The 19437-nt window shown below is 44.4% G+C and overlaps 3 annotated features.

The window, feature by feature from the left end:
* Positions 225 to 814: an enhancer, noted in NCBI's record as "NANOG-H3K27ac-H3K4me1 hESC enhancer chr2:620290-620879 (GRCh37/hg19 assembly coordinates)". NCBI's record gives its function as "activates a minimal SCP1, AML or CMV promoter by ChIP-STARR-seq in naive H9 embryonic stem cells {active_cell/tissue: H9 hESC(naive)}" and the evidence as "EXISTENCE:reporter gene assay evidence [ECO:0000049][PMID:30033119]".
* Positions 11348 to 12547: an enhancer, noted in NCBI's record as "CDK7 strongly-dependent group 2 enhancer chr2:608557-609756 (GRCh37/hg19 assembly coordinates)". NCBI's record gives its function as "activates an origin of replication core promoter dependent on BRD2, BRD4, P300/CBP, MED14 and CDK7 cofactors, with strong dependence on CDK7, by STARR-seq in HCT116 cells {active_cell/tissue: HCT116}" and the evidence as "EXISTENCE:reporter gene assay evidence [ECO:0000049][PMID:35650434]".
* Positions 17577 to 18776: an enhancer, noted in NCBI's record as "P300/CBP strongly-dependent group 1 enhancer chr2:602328-603527 (GRCh37/hg19 assembly coordinates)". NCBI's record gives its function as "activates an origin of replication core promoter dependent on BRD2, BRD4, P300/CBP, MED14 and CDK7 cofactors, with strong dependence on P300/CBP, by STARR-seq in HCT116 cells {active_cell/tissue: HCT116}" and the evidence as "EXISTENCE:reporter gene assay evidence [ECO:0000049][PMID:35650434]".

The following is a 19437-nucleotide window of genomic DNA, read 5'->3' as shown; positions in this document are numbered from 1 at the left end:
TGTGCTCCGGGGATGGAAGCGTTTATGTGGCACCGACTGTATGCACGGTGGGGACTGAATCCCTGGGCAGCCTGCGGGGAGGCGTCGTACCTGCCGCGTGAAGGTGGAAGCGGCCGTGGGAGGCGCAGGACCAGGCCCAGGGCAGGCAGTTGGCTCCGGAGCGCGCGTTCTCACAGCTGAGTTTAGGATCACCATATCATCTCTCACCCAAATCAAGAAACTCTGGGAGCACAATGGACCCTAATTATAATGACAGAGGAGCCGCAGGCCTGGACCGGGCAGCTGCGGCCTCTCTCAGCCCCAGTCCCGCCTTCCCGCGTGGATCCGGGCAGCCTGGCGTGGCCTCCGCAACGCGCAGCGGGGACGCGGTGACCCCAGAGCTCGGCTGCTCGCAGGGTCCACACGTGAAGAACTCGGGGCTCCTCTGAGCTGCAACCCTAGATGTCTAGCGATGACGTCACCCGCCCAGCCACATGCCACTAATTTAGAAAAGACATTCAGCCACAGTTTTGATTTTCTCTGAGTCAGGATGGAAAATGAAATGAACTACTAATTTTTTGTTGTTTTTCTCTTATAAATATGAATGCTGGAATCTGGTGATGATCAAGGATTTTAAGATAAATGAGCAATTCATTTTTAAGCTGAACGGAGCTATTTATTCTAAAATAAGTTTCTGTTTCTTTTTTCCCCCCAGATTCCTTGTAATTTCACAGTTGAATGATTACCTTTTTCCTGAACCATTTATACCCTCGCTGGTCTCGCTATGGCCATTAACCCTGGCTAAAATGTCACCGGTGGGCTACCTCTGCCCCCCTCCTCATGGTCAGGGAGGAGAGACGACTGTGCCGACTCCGAAGCCAACTCCTGGGCACTTCTGGGCGATCGCCCTCCCCGCAGAGCGTCTCCTCCTGCGGGCTGCAGACACCGCCTTTCCCTGCCAGGTTGTGCCTGTCCAAGCAGGAGCTGAAGGGCTGTGGTGAGAGGCTCACACTCCTGCGGCATTCCCACCTTGGAACACCTTTCTGAAATTCTGCAGTACCCTGAGCATGCTGATTTTTCGTGGTTTTGTCCTTGTTTTTCTAGTTTTCAGGGAGAGGGAAGTTTGCTGAAGCCATGGGCACATCCCTGCTGCAGGCCCCTCTTCCTGCATGCCCACAGTCACCCTCCCGGGAGCCTTTGCACCCAGACCCCACCCTGCCCAGAGAGGCCTCTCAGGCACAGGGCCTGGCGAGGGGAGGTCCCCATTGCCTGACTCTGCTGCCAGTCATTAAAGTGTGACCAGAAAAGGTAGGATGTTTAACTGGAGTGCAGGTTCCCAGGGCTAGCAAGTTACTGCAACTTCATAGGTGCATCTAGCCTTGAACTTTGAGGGAGGGTTCCTAAGCAAAACGAAATAGAAGCAAAACTCTGCCCTGCATGAAAAAGGGGACCCTGGGAAATAGAAGGAAACGTAAAACACAAAGCATTTAAATGTAAACCTTTATAATACTTAAAAATACTTTTAATTTGTGCCATTTTAGATACACAATGTATAAGTTCTCTCTTAGTGGATACGTATTGTTTAGTAACGTAGTGCGGTGCTAAATAGTGTTGATTTAAGATCAAAACTAAGATTATATTAATTAATGAAAGCACAAATGACAGGCAGCAGTTTTGAGAGAAGCGCTGGATGAAGCCTGCCTGTCATCCCTGCCTCTCCTCACTCCACTCTGCTGCGTTGCTTTGCTTGGCCAGGTTGGTCGCAGGGGCAGACAGGAGTGGACGCCATCTTTCCCTCCTAGCACATGGTCCTCCTTGCTCTTTTGAGCAAAGCCTCTGACCCTTTTTCTTTCCTCCACCTCACCTGATTTTCCTCTTTTCTGCTTTCCTTTCTTCCTTTCTTTCCCTCTGCCTCCATCAGCCATTCCATAGTGTTTACTATGTGGCTTTCCACAAGTTATATAAAATATGCATTGTCATCTTGTCCACATGTATTTTTATTTTGAATTTTTCATAAATAGTAGCATTTTACAAATTTCATTCAGTTCTTTGCATTGATTCCTCCACACTGTGGTTTTAACATTGCTCACATACAAGTGTTTTAAAATCCCTCACTGTGCACCTGGATCTATCCTGTTCTCCTTTAGACACAGGGCAGGTGAGCCCCAAAGCGGAGCTAAGCCCACTGGGTTATTGGCTTTGCCCAGGATAGAATTCAAGGGCAGGCCAGAGGTGGAAGAAAACAGCTGTACTGAACAAGCAGTGTTGCAGCTGTGTGACGGCTTTTGCAGAGCAGGGCTACCCCAGAGGCGGAGAGCAGCAACTCGGGCAGTTCTGCAGTCACGCATATACCCACTTTTAATTGCATGCAGATTAAGGGGTGGTTTTTGCAGAAATTTCTAGGGAAGGGGTAGTAACATTTGTGTCACTGGGTCATTGCCATGGAAAGTGGCAGTAACTCCTGGATGTTGCCATGGCAATGGTAAACTGACATGGCCCACTGGAGGGCATGTCTGATGGAAAACTGCTTCCTCCCTAGCCCTGTTTCAGCTAGTCCTCAATCTGGCCCGGTGTCCAGCCCCTGCCTCTGGAGTTGAGTTCTGCCTCCTACTTCACTGTTACTTCTATTAATCTTTGCTTGATACATATAGAGACCCTGTTATTAGGTACAGACAGTTTAGAATCATTACATCTTCTGGGGTTGATGCTTTGTCACTCTCAAATGTCTCTCACCCTCTGCTCTCGACACTGACAGAGTTTAATCTCCATTCTCCTAGGACTTGCCTGGCGTGGACTTCCTCCATCCCTTTGCTTTCAGCATTTTAGGTGTGACATTAAGTAGAATATCATTGGAGTTTTAAAACATTTATCCAATCTGATAGCCTTTGTATTTTATTTGACAAATTTAGCACATTTATACTTATTGAAATTTTTGCTGCCTTTAAACTTAAGTCGACCACCTCAATGTTTCTATCTGTTCAATTTGCCATGGTTTCCCTTTCTAACCTGTCTGCCTTCTTCTTATCAAAGAAGTACTTAGATCTTATTTTTCAATTTCCCACTCTCAAAGTTAATTGGTTATAAATCTTAGTCTAATACTGAAATAATATGGTTATCCTCGAAGTTACAAAGCACTTCTCTGAGTTATTTAAGTCTAACAGAATTTAGTGTGCTTAACACCCTCTGGACAAAGCCAGGAGCTGAGGAAATGCCCCTCCATTGTCCCTCGTGCTTTGTGTTACTGCTGTTGGCCATTTTTATTCCATACAGGTTACATCGCCCAGACAATTTGTTTTGATACAGACAATACTCTTTTGTTTTGATCCTCATATTAATGATTTGTGGTTGCTCTTTTCTACCTGCATCTCCAAACTACTAATAAAGCATCATTTCTTCCCTCCTGGAAAATCCCCTTTGGTGTGGTTTTGCTCCTAATGAACTCTCAACTTTTGTTTGAAAAATAACCTATTTCTGCCTCCTTCACTTATTTAAACTTTTTATTACGAAAAATGTGGAACTTTCTCTAAAGCCAAGAAAATATAATAAATTATATAATAAATTATATAATGTATTTATATATAATATATAATATAATAAATTTGTTTATACTTCCCTCCATGCTTCAATAATTATGTACTTACAGGGGTTTATCTGTACCCCACTTCCTCTCTCACGTTTTCTTGGATCCAAATCCCAGACATTTGTCATTTTATCGCTAAATGTTTTGATATGTCCTCTAAGAGATAAGAATTATAAAGAGTGTAATCTAATAGTATTATCACACCCTTAAAATTTATATGTATACATATGTGTGTGTACATATATATATATAATTTTTTTTTTTTTTGAGGCAGAGTCTCCCTCTGTCACCCAGGCTGGAGTGCAGTGGTGCCATCTTAGCTCACTGCAACCTCCACCTCCTGGGTTCAGGTGAGTCTCCTGTCTCAGGCTCCCACGTAGCTGGGATTACAGGCATGCACCACCATGCCCAGCTAATTTTTGTATTTTTAGTAGATATGGGGTTTCACCATGTTGGCCAGGCTGGTCTCAAACTCTTGACCTCAAGGAATCCACCTACCTCGGCCTCCCAAAGTGCTGTGATCACAGGCATGAGCCACTGTGCCCAGCCCCTTAAAATTTATTTTTAAAAATATCTTATATTCTGAAATATTGTCACTGTCCAAAGTTCCCTAATTTTCTCATAATTTTATTTTCAACAATTTTGTTGTCTGATCAGAATCCAAATAAGATCCATTGTTGCAAATTGCTGATACACTTCTTAAGCATCTTTTGATCCATGGCACTCTCTTAATCTCTTTTCTTTCCCTTGCAGTTAATTTGTCCAGAAAATGTGGTTATTTGCCCTGCAGCACTTCCCAGTGTAGAGTCATTCTGATGCCTTTTCACATATTTTTGTTTCCTGAATTTTCCATAAAGCAATAGATATCAGGTTTGATTTTGATTTTCAGCAAGGACATTGCATACATGGTATTGTTTACTTCCCTCTGAAGGCACATGATGTGTCGTTATGATTAATGCAGGTGGGTTAAAGTGCTTTGTTTGCTTTTTGTTTATTTTGTTTTGTTATCATTGCATTTTTTGTTTTGCTAATATCACTAATAGAGATGGTCCAAAAAGCAAATGCACTATCCTATTTTGAAAGTTTGTCTTTCATGTTTGAACTTACTTTTTCACTCTTTATGTGTTTTGAATATTATCCATATGTGTACCATTTGTCAGTAAGAAGTTAAAATATTATTGTCAGTTTGTCATTTGTCTTTTACTTTGCTTAGTGTTTTTGGTATAAAAATATTCTATTTATTAACATTTTATTAAAATTTTCATATTGCTTTGGGACTTTAATTTTAATTTTTACTTAGGAAAAATTTTCTAGTCAAAGGCTAAATTAGTCAACCATGTTTTACTCAATAACTTATGTGATTGTATTACTTTAATCCTTAGATATCTGATTCCTTTGGACTTTATCCTTATGACTTTGTGTGAATGAATGTGGTTTTCTGAAACAGCTAACAGGTTCTCCGCGTGTCCCCGGAAGGAGTGTGTCCCCTACTGCTGATCTACCATGGTTCCCACAGCCCATGTGGTATGCACTCACTAGATTTCTGGATTTTCCCTTTCTGTTGATCAATCTATGGGGCAACTCTACGCTGTTTGCTGACACAGGTTCTATGACACATTTTGATACCGGCTAGAGCAGCCCCGCAATTCTCTTCTTTTGCAGGAGACCCCTGGCTATTCTTGCATATGTGCCCTTGAAAACCCTTCATATTCAACTTTTCCTGATCGTGTTGGGGAAGGCAGTCTTCATATTGAACTTTCCCTGATCATGTTGGGGAGGGGAGTTCTGATGGTACTTTTCTTGGGATCACATTATGTATAAATTTCATTAGAGAGAAATTCCATCTGTACTATACTGAGCACTTTTAGCCAAAAAATACAAAAATATGATGGCATGCCTTTCCATTTCTTTCATTCTGTTTTTGAGTTTTTCTGAGCATTTCCTATAGGCTTTGTATATTTCTTCACTTGAAGCCTGCTTTTTTATTTTTTTCTGTCTTAAATGAAGGTTCTCCTCAATTACCTCTTAACCAATTTTTGTTTGTACATATGAGAGTTATTGGATAACATACAATTGTATATCCTGATACTTTATTAAGTTATCTCATTGTTTGTACAGGGTGAATATTCCTAATTCACAAATCCAAAACATTTCAGAATCTGAAACTTTTTGATCACCGACATGACACTAAAAGAAAATGGTCATTGAAACATTTTGGATTTTGGATTTTTTGGTTAGGGCTGATAAATATAATGCAAATATTCCAAAATCTGAAAAAAAATCCAAAATCCAAAATACTTCTGGTCCCAAGCATGTTGTATAAGGGGTGCTCAACCTGTAGTAGCTAAACATTACTGGGGGCAGTGGGGGTGGGGTTGCCGGTTATATAATCATGTCATTGCACACTGAGATAGTTTTTTCTTTTCGTCTCTCAAATGTGATTGAATTTGAATTAAATTCTTTTGTCTTTTTTTTGTCTCATTGCATTGACTAATTCTTTCCATATAATAATAAATAATAGTAAAACCAATGGTTATCTGGTTTTCTGCAGTTTCGCAAGAAAGGAAATGTTTCCACATGAAATAAGACTCAGAATGAGGGCTGTGCTGTGTTGATCGTTCTTAATTTTAAACTCTAAAAGCTATTGAGGCTTGAAAGATACTTTGTATATGTGGTTTATATTAGTTACCATACTGTATTTCACTAGTTTATATTAGTTACTAGAAATAGAAATATTTAACATATTTATGTAATTTAAAATTTAAAAACAATAAACCAATAAACCCATTAAACATGAACATAAATAATATTTTGCATGAATACAACTATATTTACCAAAACATAGTGGGAAAGTGTGGAATTATTTTACAGTTTGGCAAATCTCTTTAAAGTTTGAATAGAGAACAATTGGATTTCCAAGGCTTTTTCAGCCAATATGGACTTTCTTCCTTAATCCAACAGGGATGTGAGATGAGTGGAAGTTAGTTGCAATGTGGAGTCTAAGCCCACATCCCTGAGCATTGCGCATCCTCATCAGGTAGAACCCACTGGCCTACCCTGCATTTCCAGTGGATCTGTATCCAGGCCTGATTTTGTGATGTCAGGAATTGGCATTTTGGAACATCTTGGTCTCACTAAATTACACTGATCTTCCCAATGTTGACACATTGAATTTTGCAATGTCAAAATATGGAATGTGTTCTCATCATCACTGGTGTCACTCCAAAGTCTTGGAGGACTTGGAAGCTTTCAATCTCACTGTGATGGATGCAGATTTTCTAAAATTATTTTTCTGTTGCTTGAAATTTGGAATTTTACTATGGGCAGCAAATACTGTCAGCCATTTTTGGTGAATTGACACGTCACGTTATTTAGTTTCCCAAGCCCCCGCGTGTGAGTCCTTCTTAGAGTGGGATGTGTTCATGGCCAGCAGCGGCCTCCGTGTGTCAGGAGCTTTGTCGTTACAGGAGCGTTCACTTCAGTGTGCAGCTGAGGGCCTTCATGTACACGTCCCGTTCTGATACACGGAATATTGTTTTAAATTGTACTTTTAATAATACTTATTGTCCCAAAGAATCGTTAAGTGAAGCTGACAAAAGCTTTGGATGTTGTGAACCTGACACAGGCATGAACACAGTGAGGACTGAGGTCCTCCTGCCACCGCCTGGATTGAGCCGAGGCACCAGAAAGTTTATCCACCTCCTTTTGGTTGGATTGAGCCAAGTCACCAGCAGTTTCATTCACCTCATTTTCGTTGGATGGAACCAAGGCACCAGCAGACTTATTCACCTCATTTTGGTTGGTTTCACCACCGTGCAAATGTTAACACGGGGAGAAAAAACAGCATCTAAGTATCATCATGAAAATTGTTCTGGCCTCAGGTGTCCCCTCAAACGGTCTCCGAGGCCTCAGGGGCCTGCAGATCACACTTTGAAGACTGTTATATTCCATGTGATTGGGTTAAAGATATGTCATCTTTTTAATGTGTTGTTAGATTCCGTTTGCAAATATTTCATTTAATTTTTTTGCATCTTTACTGGATGACAGCAATTTGTTGTGTTTCATTCTTTGTCTGCCTTTGGAAAGATCATTTGCAGGTTTTTCTTTCTTCTTCTGTGCTCCAGAATAATTCAGGTAGCACTGGAATCATCAGATTTATAAAATTTGGTTGAATTCCCCTGTTAGACTCTCTGGGTTTTTGCTTTCAACAGGAGAGCCCTTACTTAATTTTATTTCCTTTAAGGCTATTGGTTTAAACTTTCTGACTTTACTGTGGTCAATTTTATAAAAGTATTTTTTTCAATTTCTGTTAGTTTTTACATTTTATTTGAAGAAAGTTGCATAAAGTCTTATCTTGGGATTTTAAAATTCTCTTATTGAAAGAGAAGAGGAAGAAAATGACTTTCTCTTGTCATTTCTAATTTAATTTATTTTTTCCTATTTTTCTTCATTAATTTGGCTACTAGATTTACCTGTTTTGTTAGTTTATTAAAAACACGTTTGGATTTGTCGGTTCTAATTTGTTAGAATCTAATTTAGAATCTGAATCTAATTTATTAGATTCTTCTTTTAACTTTATTCATTTCTGACTTGCTTTATTTTGCTCATTCTGTTGTACTTCATTTGAAATTTTAATATCTTTCAATTTGCTTTTTATTTAAAAATGTTTTCAAAGTAAACTTTTATCTGAAAGATAAATGCTTTTTGTTGTATTTTTATTATTATTTTTTCAAAATACTGTGAAATTTTATTTTCTATCTTTCTTTAGTGGCAAAGGTTGCTTAATATAATTTTATATGCATCTCAGCTCTATTTTTATTCATCATTAATTTCTAGATTTTTATTTTGCATTCTGCCCTAAGAATCATGTCTTATTAATTAAAAAATTCTATTCTTTGAGTTTTTGAGGCTTTCTTTAGGGTCAGAAATTTACAAATGCTCCATGTGCATTTGGAGCAAAAATGTCTTCTCTTTGATTAGACACCTTTAGGTTTGATTAGAACCTGAGTTCCATGGATCCCACCCAAACCATCTTGCAGATCATTGTGCTGAGGACACGTGGGCCCTTACAAAGCTTTGGCTGCTTGGCCCATCTCAGGCTGCGAGAGACCTGCCTGTTATCTGTGTTCCTGTCCACCTCCCCTTGTATCTCCAGTGGTTTCTGGCATATCATAGGCTTTGCTGGGTCACTGGGTTATAATTATTAAGAGCTGAATCCTGTGGAATTATAACATAAACTTCTTGGCCTCTTTTAATGCTTATTACTCAAAATTCTTCCTCAGCAGAGATCAAAATACTGAGGCCTAATTCTTTTTTCTTTTGCCTGCTATAGTTGAACCTTTTTCTTTAGTTTCTACCTTCTTGAATATTTTGTTTTAAGTATGTTTCCTATATACAAACTAATGCATTTTGCTATGCAGCCAACCTAAAAATCTTAAAAGGTACTTTAAGCCCACTTACATTACCATTATAAGCCCACTTACATTATTGTTATTTTTTTACCTACGTTTTGTCATGTTGTTTTATATTTTTATGTAAACAAGGCTTTCATAACATTTTTCACTGTGCCCTGTCTCTGTGTCTGTGTCTCTGTGTCTCTATCTTTCTCTCTTTCCCCTCCCCACCCTCACCTTAAGCATATTTAAGGTACAGTATGTTTGCTTGTGTTTTGGTTGTATCCTCAGCTTTATGCTAATAGTACTACGTGACACCTCCTGAGCCCCCTCTCCTGCATGAGGCCCCCTGAGCCCCACTCTCTTGCCTGAGACCCCTGAGGCCCCTCTCCTGCCTGAGACCCCTGAGCCCTCTCTGTGTTGAACGCTGGCTGTGGCGCTCACTGTGAGGACGATGTGTTGGACAGCGCCTGTGTGTGTCTCTTCTACCTTCCTGCCATTCAATTTGAGGCAACAGTCTTCCACCCTAATTCAGCATCTCTAAATAAATTGACAAGGTCTCTCTCATTTTTCATGTTCTCTTCAATTCTTTCCTTCCAGTTTAAATTATTTTTTCTATATTTTGGAAACATATTTACTGCCTATAGAACTTTCTTTCACATTTGCCTGCTTTTATTGCTTTTGAAGCTGCCCTGACACCATCTTCTGGCTTCAACCTCTGTTAAGGAGTTAAATCTCAGTCTCGCTTCCTGCAATTATAAACTGGAAAGACTTTCTTTCCCTGGTTTTTCATTTTTTGGCATATAATTAATTTGATATTCCTGGTTGTGACTATGTGATCTTTATTCTGATTGCTGACTAGGACTTTCAGGATTCTTGAACGTGTGGCTTTATGTCTTTTGTCAGTTTTCAAAATGTTTCAAGCATCACCTTTTCAATGATTGCTCCTCCTCCACAATGCCCTCTCCTCCTTTGGAGCCCTGGTTACGAGTGCAACAGACACAGCACCTTGTCTGAGGTGTGGCCTGTGTGTCTAGTTCTTGTAGTTTTTCTCCTGTGTTCTCTCTGTGCTTTTTCTACATATTATCTTTTAAACCTACTTCATGAATTACCTCTTTTGTTTCCTTAGTTCTTAATTTCAGTGATTGAACTTTTTAAAATTCTAGAATATTCAATAGAATTTTTTCATAGCTTCCAATTATCTTCTGAAATGTCCACTGTATCATTTCTTGCACATATTAATCACAATGATTTTGAAGTTCATGCGTGCTTACTGATAGCTGCACCTGCCTCAGGGGTCCTCTGCCTGAGGAAAGCTGCCTTGTTAGACAGCACCTCTCTAGGATGAAGACACTGCCACTGTTTCCATGGTGCCAGACAAAGCCACCCCACACATAAATATGTGTGGCCTGGATTAATTTATCTATTATTTGCTGTATATTTTATCTCTGGAAGACACGAGGCTGATAGCTGAGGATAAACAAGTTAACAGGGCCTATTCCTGCCTCTGAGGGACTCTGGAGGAGTCACTGGCTGGCAGCCGTGTGCACTGCAGGGTCCTGGGCAGGGTCACATGGCAGCTTCATTTCTGTAGAAGAAGGAGCTTTATCCAAGCTCTGGAGGAAGGCAGAGGGGATCTCCTTGTGGGACATTCAGACTTGAGTCTGGTATTTTTGTGCTTTCTATTGGATAATGCATAATGTGTATTAATGTTTCCTTATTGTGAGAAAACCTACTTCTTGTGTCTAGAATGTGCTCAGACTGTGGTATGGGGCCAGGTCCTGGGTTCGCCCTGGAGTTCTCTTTCCTGATTTCTTGGTGAATGATCCGGGTAGGAGGAGCGTGGCATATCTGGGAAGCTGCCAGCCTCTCCAGGCTGGGGTATTCCTGGCCCTAGGGGAGGCGTGATGGGGCCTGGCATTTCCTTGGAGAAATCAGGCACCCAAATCCACTGATGCTCATGAGAGCAGGTGCTACTCTTTACCATGTGCATGGCGCTGGTGTGTAGTGCAGGGCCAGACCCAGCCAGGCCTGGGGCAAAGGGCCCGCTGTCTACCCAAGGACGCCAGCAACACAGAAGCTGAGGTCCCAGCTGCATCCTCAGACGGCCCCACCTGATTCAACTCCCAGCCAGCCTCACGTCTGAAGAATGCAGCCTCTGCATCTGCACAGGTTTTAAAGGAGGCCTGTTTTAGACTCATTTCACCTTCTGTAGATGTGTCTGCAGCTCGTTCCATAATTAAACTCTGAAAGCTCCTCATTCCCGGGAACATGACTGCCTTCAAAGGATGCAGCTCCATCATTCTCAGCGTCTTTCAAAGAAAATACACAGATGAGAAAGTGCAACAAGGGATCTCAATGCTTTAGGTTCTGGCGGTCTCCAAGCTGGTGATGCTCAGCTCAAGAGGCTCTGCGCTGCACAGAATTCCTCTTCCGGAGACCCCGGCTGGAGTCTGACACTTGCCGATGGGACCGTCCTGGGCCCGACATGTCTCTTGACTCATTAGCAGCCCAGTTTGGGCAATTCCAGTTTATTTGTTTTGAGTGGGTAAATTGCTGCTGTGGGTATGGTTATTCCCATTAGCAATTCTGTAACCCACAGAGATTTTCTGCCCGATTGATCAATAGCCAACAGAGTCGGAAGCATGGAACTGCCACAGTAAATGAAGCTTCTCTGGGCTGCAGCTTTGTGTCTGTGAGCCACTGGACACTGATATCTGCATTAATGTGCAGAGCTGGTATCTAACACTCCTTGCAGTGAACCAGAACATGCATTTTAAAATAGAACAGTAATTTTGAGGTAAGGAAATGTCCGTTCGATAGGCGAGGTCTTTACAATGTGATCACATGGACACAGCAGCTGCCTAAGACAGATCCTGTCCAGTCAGAGTCAGCTCACCCCCTAGACAGATCCTGTCCAGTCAGAGTCAGCTCACCCCCTAGACAGATCCTGTCCAGTCAGAGTCGGCTCACCTCCTAGACAGATCCTGTCCAGTCAGAGTCAGCTCACCCCCTAGACAGATCCTGTCCAGTCAGAGTCGGCTCACCCCCAGACAGATCCTGTCCAGTCAGAGTCGGCTCACCCCCTAGACAGATCCTGTCCAGTCAGAGTCGGCTCACCCCCTAGACAGATCCTGTCCAGTCAGAGTCAGCTCACCCCTCTTCATCTCACCTGGCTGCCTGACAGACACGGGTCACGTCTCAGGTGAGGATGGTTGAGAGGGCGCCAGCTCCTCAGGCTTTGCCCGCTGGTGTCAAATGAGGAGGGGTACATGGCACCAGTGGTGGCCTCCAGCCCCTGTTCTGAAAGAGCTGGTTTTGTACCTCAAGCTCAGCTCGCAGTCCAGTGCCTCCCCAGGGAGAGTCTCTGGTTTTACTGCACCTTAGTTCCAATTTTAAATTTGTCCTTAACTTTATGCCTTTTTCAGTTGGGGCCTCTCTACCATTTCAAAGACAAAATGGGAGCAGGGAGTTGTAATACAAAAACGTCCGGAATCCTAAAAAAGAGTGGATGAGGCTATTCCTTAACCCGTCAAAGCTAATGGCAGGATGGCCAGGATGCATGGAGCTGGCCTGAACTCAAAGCCAGCCCTGGCTCTGCGGGCCTCAGAGCAGCTTTGCCAGGCCCTGCACCAACGACCAAGACAAAACACACCTCTGCCCAGGGCCAAACCTGAACACAGTGTAGCTGTCATAAACATGCCTCAGGCCCCACGTCCCTCCATCTTCAATCCCATAAGATGGCTCATGGACACCTCCCCACAGGGGTATTTTGGAATAACACTACAGAATCAGTTTTCTCAAATGAGTTTTAAAATATTCAGGAAAGAAATAAACAAGACAAAACAAAACATCGCCCACAAAGGAATTGACTGACCTTTCCTTGTGTTGGTAACCTTTCCAGTAATTGGGCAAGAAATCCACATTTTGCCGATGTTTTTTATAAAGCCATTTTTTAACAAACCTGCATGTATTCCAAAAGTAAAGACAAAACAGGATGAATCTTGAGGAGCCAGAGAGGGGAAGGAGGAACGTTTGTTTCTTAAGGGCTTTTCTGAGGCAGGTTCCCAACTTTATGCCTTGATAGCTGATTTCTTTCCCTAATCAGCACCTTCTGTGTCAGATCCAGGCAAGAGTTGAAATCCGTGGGATTCGTGGAAAAGCATACATTTAGGAAGTGCATTTGGCTGCATCCTGTTATGTTAAAGAATAGCACCTCCACCTTCCTCACAACACTGACCTCAGCCTCTTGGGTCTATCCAGCGAAGGTGAGACACAGGCTGGGTGCCTGCAGCCTCCCTGCACAGGAGCCACGGCAAGGATGCAGAGGAGACCCTGAATTCCCCTTCCTTTCATAGAACCAAGAGCACTGTAAAGACCCACAAGATCACAATTACAAATTCCACAATTTAAGGGATAATCTCCACTTCTAAATATTATGTGAATGTAGTATCTTCCATGTAGAAGTGACTCCTTTAAACTTTAATTAAATACAGAGTTTCTAATAGCTTTCATGAGAGCAGAGGATGATGCGCTTGAGGAAACACAGACCTTGGAAGTCCGATTGTGATTATTTCCAGAACCATAAATTTTGGGTTTTCGGCACAGGAGAAAGACTATTTCTAAAACATATGATAAAATACAATTTAAAAGTGAGCAACAGGTCCTCTCCTCTGCTTGGGACCTGTGGCCACCGCCTCACCTCACGCTGGTGTGACCCACTGAAACTTAGTCTCCTCCCATGGTGGGTGAGCTCGGCCCTCCTGGGGATGGACAAGGGCATGGGAAGATGCACTAGGCCCCGATCCCTGTGGCTGTGGCCTCTGCTCTTCCCACCTGGAGCATCCTCTGGTCACCAAGAATCCCACCTCACCCAGATCCAGACGGCCCGACCAACCCCTCACGCTCAGGGCCCCCAGAACCTTCCTGACACTCGATTCTCAGCTCTTGACAGATTGTGGCATTTTTCCCTCCACTTTCAAATTGTGTATAGATTGCAATTGTGGAATGCACAGTCGTCAGTCTTCTTCTCCAGGGTCCAGACACCTCCACTGAAGGACAGCTTCCTAGTAAGCATTTCCACAGTTTGTGGGATCCTCTTGGACAACAGTGCTCAGGAAATCATCCTTAAATGACAGACGTTGAAACCTCCATGCAGAGAGTCCGGAAGAATTCAGGAAGGCAGGGTGGCAGCTGGGAAAGGCAAATCCTGAAGCATTGTGGATTTCCAAGGTGACACGTGAGCTAATCGTGCTGAAAACAAACTCTGCAGCTTAAATTCTTATTCTGTCCAATTTAAATCCCTGGGCACACAACAGAAATACAGGATAACATCTTAAAATTAAAACAATTATGAAAGGAAGGCTGTAAATTAATATTCCATTGGACTCTCCTGAAAAGTGATGGTTTCTCTTATTCTTTTAGACAAAATGGGAGAAAATGCCGATGTTAGAGTCGGGGTTCAGAATATGTTGATATTTGTGCTAATGTCAGAAAAAGTGATACAATATGTTACAATTAGTGCAACACGTGTTTATATTTTTAAGGTAAAATACTTTTTCTTAGGGTAAAAATAACATGTTCAATTATAGGATAAAAGTAAGTTAAACTAAAGTAAAATTCCCCATTATTCCCATCACCCAGAAATAATCGGTAACATTTTGCCAATCTGTATGCATTACCATTTTCGAAACAAGGATACTGTTATAGTCACTCTTTTGTAATCTTGTTTTCAACATTTATGCAAGTCAGCATTTTTCTGCGTTGGTTACATTAGATGACATGCTCTCTAGGCCGACTGGGAGACAGACCAGGGGTGCCCCTGGGGTGGGACACGCAGCCCTGGGTCCCTCAGCAGGGGATATGGCCAGGTCAGCTCCGTGTGAGCCGACAGCCAGGCTCTCCTTTGTCCGGCCTCCACATGAGCAGGCCCAGCCCACGCCCAGCGCAGCCTTCCCATCGCCTGCAGAAGGCTCCGGAGAGCGGCGCCTGGGTGTGACCAGCTGCCACAGTGAGGTGGCAAAGGCCTGTGTTTTACGCTGCATGTTTAAGGGTCTATTGCACAGCAGGAGAAACACAGGCAGCCTCTACCTGCTCCTCAGACCTGTGCCCCTGCTGGCCCAGGGTGCCTCCCTCGCTGCCACGAGCCAGGGGACCCAGGTGTGCTGGCGCCCAGGCGTGTGTGTGGGGCTCTGGGGGCTCACCTGCAGCATGGAAGCCACACACAGGTGAGCAAGTGGAGGGTGGGCGGCCGGGCCTCCAGCCGCAGGCCTTGGATTCCATCCTCCTCCTTTTCCTTCTAAATCCACCAGGCTTCCCTGCACATGCCCGTTCAGTCAGTCAGGTGACTCAAAACACCAAACCTTCAGGCCCCATGCACCTGCCTCTTCAGACAGCAGCACTGGCTGGGACAGGCTGGAGCCCCAAGTGCACTTTCAAAGTGAAATCTAGGTTTGGTGTTTACGTGAGATTTGCTTTTGTGCATGCATGTGTGTGTCCATGTGTGTTTGTTTGTATGGGTGTGTAGTGTTGAGTGTGGTGTGTGTGTAAAGTGTGATGTGTCTGATGTGTGTGTGGAGTAGAGTGTGTGTGGCGTGGTGTGCGTGTGCGTGGTGCGTGTATGTGTGTAGTGAGTGTGTGGTGTGTGCAGTGTGTGTATGGTACATGTATGTGTGTAGAGTTTAGAATCTGCATGCACACAAAGGTATGTGTGGCTGTGTTGTACACGTGTAATGTGTGATATGTGTGAGGTGTGTGGTGTGGTGTGTGTATAGTGTGTATTGTGTGTGTGGTGCATACATAGTGTGTGTGTGGTGTGTGTATAGTGTGTGGTGTGTGTGTGGTGCATACATGGTGTGTGTGTGGTGTGTGTGTGGTGTGAAGCATGTGTGTGTGTGGTGTGTTTGATATGTGGTGTGTGTGAGGTGTGGTGTGTGTAGTGTGTCTGTGGTGGATGTGGTGTGTGTGTGTGGTGTGACTGGTGTGTGGTGTGTGCTTTGTGTGTTGTGTGTGTTGTGTGTGTGGTGTGTCTGGTGTGTGGTGTGTGCTTTGTGTGTTGTGTGTGTGGTGTATAGTGTGTGGAGTTTGTGTGTTGTGTGGGGTGTGTGTTGTGTTGTGTGTCTGGTGTGTGTTGTGTGATGTGTTGTGTGTGGTGTGTGTGTTGTGTTGTGTGTGGTGTGTGTCTGGTGTGTGGTGTGTGTGTGGGGTGTGTGGTATGTATGTGGTGTGTGTTGTGTGTGGGGTGTGTGTGGCATGTGTGGCGTGTGTGTTGTGTGTGTCTGGTGTGTGGTGTGTGTGTTGTGTGTTGTGTAATGCGTGTGGTCTTGTGTGTGGCATGTGTGGTGTGTGTGATGTGTCGCGTGTGGTGTGGTGTGTGTATAGTGTGTGTTGTGTGTGTGGTGTGTGGGGGTTGTTTGTGGTGTGTGTGGTGGCTGTGTGGTGTGTTTGGTGCATGTAGGATACCTGCGTGTGTGTACAGTTTAGGATCTGTGTGCACACACAAGTGTGTGTGGCTATTTTGCACAGGTGTGGCTTGTGCAGACACAGACCTCTGTAGGCTCCGGGCAGGGCAGGGCAGTTCCGAGGAGGAGGCCTCTGGGGACTCCACCATCTAGGTGGGTTCTGGCCTCTGTTCTCAGCCTGGGACCCCCTGCTACTCTCGACCCCTCTGTGTCCCCCGCTGTGCTCAGTGGGCCCTGAGCTGTTGCCGCGTTTGTCCGGCTGCATTGTGAGCCTGCGCTCAGGTGCAATGTGGATGAAGGAGTGTGCTTGATTTTATTGCATTTTATTTAAATGATTATGGTCGGTTCAGCATCTGAATGGTTGGATTCAGATGTTTTCTAAATGTTTTATTTTTCAATGTGTTGATGAGCTATTCTGTAAACTGCTTACTTCTTTAAGATAGGGTGCATGTTGTACATCCTGAGTGCATCTGAATGAAAGTGAGCAGGTACGATGTTGATTCATTCCCATGTTGCTTATCTCCAGCTGAAAGACGTCTGTGGCTGTAATCCCCGGGAATCGTGGAGATCTCACTTGGATCAGTGGCCTCTGGGACAGGCCCACAGGGCGTGTGGACAGAACAAGGCTGACAGAAGACTGCGTGCCAGCCAGGAAAAGAAGACAGTTCAGTTCAAGCTCTGAGCTGCAGGGGAGGCGGCCAGCCATCTGCTTTCCCTTCCCTTCCACGTGAGTGGGCTGCCACCTCCTCAAACACCAAAGGCAAGAAAGAACCTTTAAAGATGTTTGTGAGGCAAAATAATTGGATTTCATACCAATAAAAATTTAAGACCACAGAAGTGAATGCTGTGAGCAAATATGGTGATGTGGTTTGGCTGTGTCCCCACCCAAGTCTCACCTTGGATTGTAGTTCCCATAATCCCATGTGTTGTGGGAGGGACCTGATGGGAGATAATTGAATCAAGGAGGCGGTTTCCTCCGCACTTCCTCGTGGTAGTGAATAAGACTCATGAGGTCTGATGGTTTTATAAAGGGTGGTTCCCCTGCACACACTCTCTTGCCTGCCCCATGTAAGACGTGCCTTTGCTCCTCCTTGCCTTCCCTCATGATTGTGAGGCCTCCTCAGTCATGTGGATGTGTGAGTCCATTAAACCTTTTTCCTTTATAAATTACCCAGTCTCAGGTATGTCTTTATTAGGAGCATAGGAACAGACTAATACATACGGTCTCTCTCTCTGCATATATAGGCTGAAACAAGGAACTTAGTTTTTATAAATTGTTAGAGATTTCAAAAAATGTATTTCATTTTCAAACACCTCACAGAGGGGAGGGAATCATGACTCAGGCTGGCGCAGTCTCTAAAGGAAAACATTTTCTTCCTGGACCTGTCTGGGAGGAAGCTGTGCAGCCCCTCCTACCTGGACGACAGGTTGGTGCAGACTTGGGGTCAGGGGCGCCACAGCCAGGTCGCATTGCTCACATCTGAACTGGGTGGCAGCTTTGCAGAGTCACACTGAACCATGGGTGCACTGGGGGTGGCTCTGGTTTTGAAGTTTATGATTGAATTTGAGGTTAATTTTGGGTCACTGGGCACACTGCCTTACCTATATTGCATTAAAACACAGGTTTCCAACTTGCTCTTGAAGTCAATAGATGAATCAGCTCAGTGATTCACTGTCTCCTTATCTTGTAAATTTTGTTATATCCTGAAAGAATCATCCTTGAATATTGATGGAAACCCTTTGAAGTTCCAATACATTGTGTTTTTCAAAATAAGGTCATCATTTTTATCTAATGCCTGACCTATGAAAAATCTCTGCTTCAAAACCCATGACGATCCTCCAGCCATGTGGCCAAGCTGTTTACCGGCATTTCCTGCATGTGCCTCCTGGGTCCTGGGTGAGCTGCGGGTTAGGAGTGTGAGGCCCTGGGATCCGGAAGGGATGGCTGTGTAGCCGACAAAAGGATTTGTGTCCCAGCCTTTGCTGTTCTTTGAACTACAGCGATGGTGCTGGACCACGCCCTGCACAGACGCCTTGTGGACTGTGTCAGATTAAAGCCTGCTGTACCGGTGGTCCCCTTTCTTCTGTGCACCTGTGTTTTTGGCTCGTGAAGCCCACCTTGGCGTAGGATGTAAAAAGCCTTGGCATAATTCGTTCAGTAGCAGAAGTCAAATGAACACTCACTTGGCCCCTTCCACTCACACAGTGATCTGAGGCGGCCCCAGGCCTGTGTCAGAGCCGGCTTCCAGGTCAAACAGTCTGCCTCTCTGTCTGGGTTCAGCATTTTCGAAATAGAACTCCCGTAGCCAAGTAGCCCATGGACAATTCCTGCAGGGCGGCATAGGACAAGCTTTGTTTTAGCTGGGAATGTTCGGTTGTCAGTAACAGAACACTCGACAGTTTTGGCGGAGGCAGGAACGGGGCCGCTCCCTCAGCACTGCAGGGTCGGGGCTTCCACTCTGACTCTTCTCTAGGTGGCTGCTTCGTTATTTCCTGGAAAACCAGTCCCCTGGGGACCCGTAGCCCGCGTGGGCTCCCGGTGTGGATGCGCTCAGACCTGCGTCCCAGCCTCAAGCCCTGGAGGAAGAAGGCTGGGAAGCAGGCAGGTGCCCCACTTAGAATCCAGACTCTAATTCCGACTGTCTGGATAGGAACGCCCACCAGAGCCTTGGCTTTCAGTCTGGAATGGTCCTCTTAGTGTGGGGGCCCAGGGAATGGGAGTGTGGTGTGCACTGTGGGCCGTCGCAGACACTGATGAGCCGGCGTCTGAGCCACCGCCCGCAGGAACCTGGCCGGTGCAGATATTTGGCCATCATTGGGAAACTGAGTTAAGGAAAATCCTGAAGAAAACCCGTCAGTGGTTGCGCTCCGTGATGTATGCCTTGTCTAGAAACACACGTGGGGGTCTTGGCGTGAGGAGGAAGAGAAAGTTCTTAGATGCTGTGAACCTCAGTTTTATGGCCAGTTTGACTGGGCCACAGGGATCCCAGAGTGATCAGGCCTTATTCTGGGTGCCTCTGGCTAT

The sequence above is a fragment of the Homo sapiens genome, chromosome 2 (genome assembly GCF_000001405.40).
Source record: "Homo sapiens chromosome 2, GRCh38.p14 Primary Assembly".
Taxonomy (NCBI): domain Eukaryota; kingdom Metazoa; phylum Chordata; class Mammalia; order Primates; family Hominidae; genus Homo; species Homo sapiens.
The sequence above is the reverse complement of the archived record's forward strand: the minus strand, read 5'-3'. Positions and strand labels throughout refer to the sequence as shown.